General features: G+C 40.0%; 2 annotated features.

The window, feature by feature from the left end:
- Positions 318 to 818: an enhancer, noted in NCBI's record as "H3K27ac hESC enhancer chrX:87994167-87994667 (GRCh37/hg19 assembly coordinates)". NCBI's record gives its function as "activates a minimal SCP1, AML or CMV promoter by ChIP-STARR-seq in naive H9 embryonic stem cells {active_cell/tissue: H9 hESC(naive)}" and the evidence as "EXISTENCE:reporter gene assay evidence [ECO:0000049][PMID:30033119]".
- Positions 3,554 to 4,753: an enhancer, noted in NCBI's record as "P300/CBP strongly-dependent group 1 enhancer chrX:87990232-87991431 (GRCh37/hg19 assembly coordinates)". NCBI's record gives its function as "activates an origin of replication core promoter dependent on BRD2, BRD4, P300/CBP, MED14 and CDK7 cofactors, with strong dependence on P300/CBP, by STARR-seq in HCT116 cells {active_cell/tissue: HCT116}" and the evidence as "EXISTENCE:reporter gene assay evidence [ECO:0000049][PMID:35650434]".

The following is a 6,726-nucleotide window of genomic DNA, read 5'->3' as shown; positions in this document are numbered from 1 at the left end:
TAAACATTTGAAAAATTCACAGGCTGGCCATGTGGTAGAAAAGGAAAAACTGTTTTCAGGCAAGAAAGCCTGTGGAGCAACCACTTGCTAGAGAGAATAAAATGACTAAATAGGAGTCAAGTGCTAATAGTAAGAACAATAGGAAAAAAAAATTCCAAAGACATTTCAGAAATGTTGAAAGCAACCCTTCTTATTACAGGCCCAAAAGCCTAATAGAAAGACTGCTTTCAGGAGTTAGGTTCAGAGCACTACTGCCTTGTGCTGCTTTGGGCTGCTGCTCTCTACATTTCCATTGCTCTTGTTAAAGGGCCCTAGGCACAGCTTGGGCTGTTGCTTCACAGGGTACAATCCATAAGCCCTGACGGCTTCCACATGGTGTTAAGCCTGTAGGCACAGAGAATGCAAGGGCCACAGAGGCTTGGTAGCGTCCACCCAGATTTCAGAGGATGTGTGGGAAAGCCTGGGTGCCTAAGCAGAAGACTGCAGTAAGGGCAAATTCCCTGCAGAGAGCCTATACTGAGTCATTGTCAAAGAGGAAAAGTGTGAGCTTGGAGGCCCCATAAGTTTCTCCACCAGGGCCCTGGCTAGTGGAGCTGTGGGCATAGGATCATCACCCATACTGAAGAATGGTACAACTACTGGCAGTGTACAGCCTCAGGCTTGAAAAACTGCAGACATTTGACTCCAAACCTGGAGAGCAGCCAGGTGGGCTGTGCCCAGCAAAGCCATAGGGATATGGCTAGACAAGGCCTCAGGAGCTCACCTGTGTCCCCAGGATGTGGGAAATGGAGACAAGGGAGATGATTTTGAAGCTTTAAAACTTAATGTCGGCCAGTCACGGTGGCTCACGCGTGTAATCCCAGCACTTTGGGAGGCCATGCGGGCGGATCACGAGGTCAGGAGATTGAGACAATCCTGGCCAAAATGGTGAAACCCTGTCTCTACTAAAAATGCAAAAAGTTAGCTGGGCGTGGTGGCAGGTGCCTGTAATTCCAGCTATTCAGGAGGCTGAGGCAGGAAAATTGCTTGAACCAGGGAGTCGGAGGTTGCAGTGAGCCAAGATCGTGCCACTGCACTCTGGCCTGTGACAGAGCGAGATTCCATCTCAAAAAAAAAAAAAAAAAAAAAACCCACACCTTAATGTCTGCCCTGCTGGGTTTCAGACTTGCTTGTGGGCCTACTGCCCTTCTTGTTTGACTGATTTTCTGCTTTTTAAATGAAAATATTTACCTAATGCCCATGCCACCATTGTATCTTTTAAATTAAAAACTTAAAAAAAAATCTTACAGACTTACAGGTACAAGTAACTGTCTTTGCGTCTCAGATGAGACTTTGAACTTTTGACTTTTCAGTTGATGCTTTAAATAAGTTAACACTTTTAGGGTCAAATGCAGGGCTAGTACCTATAATCCCAGTACTTTGGAAGGCCTAGGCAGAAGCATCACTTGAGGTCGGGAGTTTGAGACCATCCTGCACAACAAAGTGAGACCCTCGTCTCTACAAAAAATAAAAATAATAAAATAGCCAGGCATGGTGGCACACTCCTATAATCACAGGTAGAGCTACACTTCATTGTTATTAGAAACTACAAATCCATTAATAATATTTTGTCTTACAAAATTAATTATTGTAGGTTTTATTTATTGTAATATTTCATATCTGTTAACATATTATCTTTAAATCATTATAGTGAAGTAGTCTAAAAATTATAGTTTACAGATAAATTATAAAGGAAGATATAATTAACATTTTCCAAGGTACTAACTTTTTAATTAAAGAACTAAATAAAAATCTTTCTGGCTCCCAATCATATATTTCTTCTATTAGACTACACATTGTTTCCATTTCAGATTAATTCTTCTGGGGGATAAGGTGAATTCACACTCGGCCTCAATTCCAGCATCTTTCTTGGATTTCTTTGTATACTTTGTAGACTGGAAAGCTAAAAACTACATTTTTTAATGTCCTTTGGAACTAAAAATCTAGATATAAATTAGGGTCCATTAATTGGAAAGTCACTTTAAAATTCTTTTCTAGAGGCTTTGTGGGGAGACTGACTTTTCTGACAACCAGATTTTAGACTTTTGGCATTCAGAACTGTGAGAAAACAAACACATTTATTTTTGCCATGCAGATGATGGTAATTTATTAAAACCCCCTAGGCAACTACTACAGACAGAAAATGATATCATATGGATACTCTCATGGATACTCTGAAAACTGAAAAGAAAATGAAAATAGTGAATGCCAGGTTAAATAAAATATATTGCTTTTTAATTACATAATTTTTAATGCAAATGCTTATTTGATGCAAATATTAGAGCATTTTATTGTGGGATTAATAACTATTGAAGTACTATATAAAAGGGAGCATAACATATGAGGAGAATCAATAGACCCATAGAGTTGCAAAGATTGTGGAGCTTATGTGAGATTATAAGGTAATACCACTGAGTAGAATGAGAAAAGTTAAGGGTGCAAATTGTAATCTATACAGCAACCCTTATAATAGAATGCAGAGATATAGCTAAATGCTAACACATATGATATGGTTTGGCTGTGTCCCCACCCAAATATCACCTTGAACTGTAATAATCCCCACATGTCAAAGGTGGGGCCAGGTGGAGATAATTGAATCATGGAGGTGGTTTCCCCCATATTGTTCTTGTGGTAGTGAGTAAGTCTTATGAGATTTGATTGTTTTATAAATGGGACTTCCCCTGCACAAGCTGTCTTGCCTGCCACCATATAAGACATGACTTTGCTTATCCTTTGCCTTCTGCCATGGTTGTGAGGCCTCCCTGGCCATGTGGAACTGTGAGTTCATTAAATCACTTTACTTTATAAATTACCCAGTCTCTGGTATGTCTTTATTAGCAGCATGAGCACAGACTAATACAACATAATTTCAATTGCATTTTAATAAATTATTCATGTAACCCAAAATAATGCAGAAAATAAAGAATAAAGTAACAATGAAAAAACAACAGCCACAAAAGAAAAAACAGCAAACTGCTAGACCTGATTTTAACCATACCAATAGTTCCAGTAAATAAAATTATAATTTAATTTAATGGCAGAGTTTTTTGAGTGAATAAATGTAAACGTCTAACTCTGTGTTGTCTATAAGGCATGTTCACAGATAAGTTGAAAATAAATTGATTGAAAATGGGTCAAAATTCCCATGCTGATCCGTACTGGGATTGCACCTCTGTATAGTCACTGCACTCTAGGAAACATAAGGAGATCAATCTCTAAAATACATAAATACTTTAATAAATGAATAGGTTATAGTGATGATATTATCAGTTGGAATATACTTAAAGACAAACTGTATTATCAGTGATAAAGATGGTCAGTTCATAAAGGTAGTAATTTCAATTCATCCAAAAGACAAAACAGTCCTTAAAGTGTATGTATATACTAACATAAATTCAAAGTCATAAAGCAAGTAGACTGAATTCAAGGGAGAAATTGACAATTATGAAAGCATAATTAGATCACTTCCTTGATTCGGAAGTGTGAGTCACCACATCCTTCCTGTGCAGAATCCTGGTGCAGGGAGGGCCCCTCTCTGTTCCATACCCAGGCATATCTCCAGGCATTTGGAGCACCTGCTTGTCCAGATTGACAGCCTAAGTCACACAATATTTTCTGTGCAAAGATATGAGGGCACTGGGGTCTCCTCCACTGCATGCCCAGGCAGATCTCCAGACAAGTGGAGCACCCACTCACCTTTTTTAGCACTCTCAGTTGCCCACCCTTCCTGGGAAGAGTCCGTGATGCAGCCAGGTTCTCTCTGTTCCATGCCCAGGCATTTCTCCAGGCATGCAAAACACCTGCCCATTTGGATTGGCAGCCTGAGCTGTCCCACTCATCCTGCACAGAAATCATTGTGCAGTGGGGCCCTCTTTGCTACACACCCAGACATATCTCCAAGCACTCAGAGCACTTAGTCACCTGGACCAGTAGCCCGAACTCACACCCTGTTTTTGCAGAGATTGTGGTGAAGCATGACCTTTTCCACCCCATGCACAGTCATATCTCCAGGTATTTGGAGCACCCACTCACCTGAATCAGCAGGCTGAGTTCACCCACGTTTCCAGTACAGAGACCATGGTGAAGTGAAGCCCTATACGTCCCATGCCCAGGCATATCTCAGGCAGTTGGAGCATACATTCACCCGGTTTAGCAGCCTGAGCTGTTCCACCATTCCCATGAAAAACAAAAAAAATGCAGTTCAGTGAGGCCATCTACGCTCCACACCATGGCAGATCTTTAGGCATATCGAGCACACACTCTCCTGGATTGGGAGCATAGGCCACCCACCCTCCCCAGACACAGAATTTAGCGCTGAGAAGGTTTCCAGCTGCATGGATGCTTGGCCTCTGGGTGCTTGGAGGCCACCATCAAGATTGTCCCTTGGTGATGGTACTTGTGTTTGCCACCTGGGGAGATGTAGGTGGGCATGCTGAGTCCAGCGCCACCCATCTTGACCTCTAATTCCATGGGGCTGAGAGGATAGCTCAGACCACTGTGCACTCCATAGATTAGTTTGTTCCTTGAGGCAACAGAGAGCTTTTCCCAGTAAGTAAGAATCAAGTATATACCTAGCTGCATTGGCCACATCCAGCTCCTCCACATTACCACCATTTACTGGCTTGTAGGTCAGAATTCACAGCCCAATATAAAATCTGCTGAAGAAGTGCATAGGGCTAAGAAACAAAGCCGAAATACCCTACCCAACATTCTCTGTAATCACAATCCCTAGGGACGGAAGGAAAGGGAAAAGAAAACAAACAAACAAATAAACAATATTGTAGTTTTAAAGAATGAAAAAACAATTCTACCCTCTGAAAATAATAACAAAATGTAGAAGTTCTAGCATCACCAGATGAGAAGGAACTACTGAAAGAATTCAAGCATCATAAAAAAATCTAAATGTAGTGACACCACAAAAGGATCACACTAGATCTTCAGCAATGGTCCTTTATCAAAATGAAAACTCGGAACTGACAGATAAATAATTCAAAGCATGGATTGCAGGGAAACTCTATGAGATCCAAGACAAAGTAGAAAATTAAACACACACACACACACACACACACACACACACACAAAACTTGCAAGGCAATCCAGAACATGAAGGGACACACATCGTTTTTTTGTTTGTCTGTTTTGTTTTTTTGAGATGGAGTCTCACTCTGTCGCCCAGGCTGGAGTGCAGTGCCGCGATCTCAGCTCACTGCAACCTCTGCCTCCTGGGTTCAAGCAATTCTCCTGCCTCAGCCTCCCTAGGAGCTGGGATTACAGGCGCCCACCACCACACTCAGCTAATTTTTGTATTTTAGTAGAGTAGGGGTTTTACCATGTTGGCCCAGCTAGTCTCAAACTCTTGACCTCAAACAATCCATCCGCCTTGGCCTCCCGAAGTGCTGGGATTACAGCCGTGAGCCACCGCGCCCGGCCAAGACACACATCCTAAAATGAAATCCATCAAAGCTTCTGGAATTAACAAACTCGCATAAGGAATTTCAAAATACAATTGAAAGCTTTTTCAATAGACTAGACAAAGCAGTAGAAAGAATTTCAGAACTTGAAGACCAGTCTTTCTGTTGTCAGAAAAAAATTTTAAACCCAGCCAGGAAAAAAAAAAATAATAATAATTAAGAAAATGAACAAGTCTACAGGCAATATGGGCTTATGTCAAGTGACCAAACCAATGAATTATTGGCATTCTTGAGACAAAACAAAAACAAGTAAACAGCCTGGAAAATGTATTTAAGAGAATAGTTCAAAATTATATTTAATCTTGCTAGAGAGTTGGAAATCCAAATAAAACAAAGCCAGACGACACTTGCGAGATATTATACAAAATGAACATCACCAAAGTATATAGTCACCAGACTGTCCAAGGTAAATACAAAAGAGGAAAATTTCAAGGAAGCTAGAGAAAACATCAAACATGTACAAAGGGAATGCCATCAGACTAACAGCAGATTTCTCAGCAGAAACTTTACAAGCCAGGAAATGTTGGGGGCCTATTTGCAACATTAAAAAAAAAATTGCAACCAAGAATCTCATATCCCAACAAACTAGGCTTAATAAGTGAAGAAGACATAAAATCTTTTGCAGATGAGCAAGTACTAAGGTAATTCATCACAAGACCAGAATTACAAGACCTAGTTAAGGTATTCTCAACATTAAGTCAAAAGAATAATACCTGCTACCACAAAAAACCACGTACATAACCGACAGAACCAATAAAGTAATGACAAATTAAAATCTATGAAGCAACCAGCTATCAACGACAGGATCAAAACCTCACATATCAATATTAACCTTCAATGTACATAGTATAAACACCCTACTTAAAAGGCACAGAGTGGTAAGTTGAATGAAAAAAAAAATGCCCATCTGCTATCTACAAAAAATCTATCTCAGATGAAACAACATCTATAGGCTCAAAGTAAGGGCTTGGAGAAAGATCTATCACGCAAACAGTAAACAAAATAACCAAGAGTAGCTATTACTATATCAGGTAAAATAGATTTTAAACCAAAAGCAGTTAAAAGGACAAAGTAGGGTGTTACATAATCGTAATGGGTTTAATTCAACAGGAAAACTTAACTATCCTACGTATATAAGCACCCAACATTTTAGAAGCCAGATTAATTTACAAAGTACTTCCAGACCTACAAAAAGACTCAAACAGCTACACAATAA

Source organism: Homo sapiens, chromosome X (genome assembly GCF_000001405.40).
Source record: "Homo sapiens chromosome X, GRCh38.p14 Primary Assembly".
Classification (NCBI taxonomy): Eukaryota; Metazoa; Chordata; class Mammalia; order Primates; family Hominidae; genus Homo; species Homo sapiens.
The sequence above is the reverse complement of the archived record's forward strand: the minus strand, read 5'-3'. Positions and strand labels throughout refer to the sequence as shown.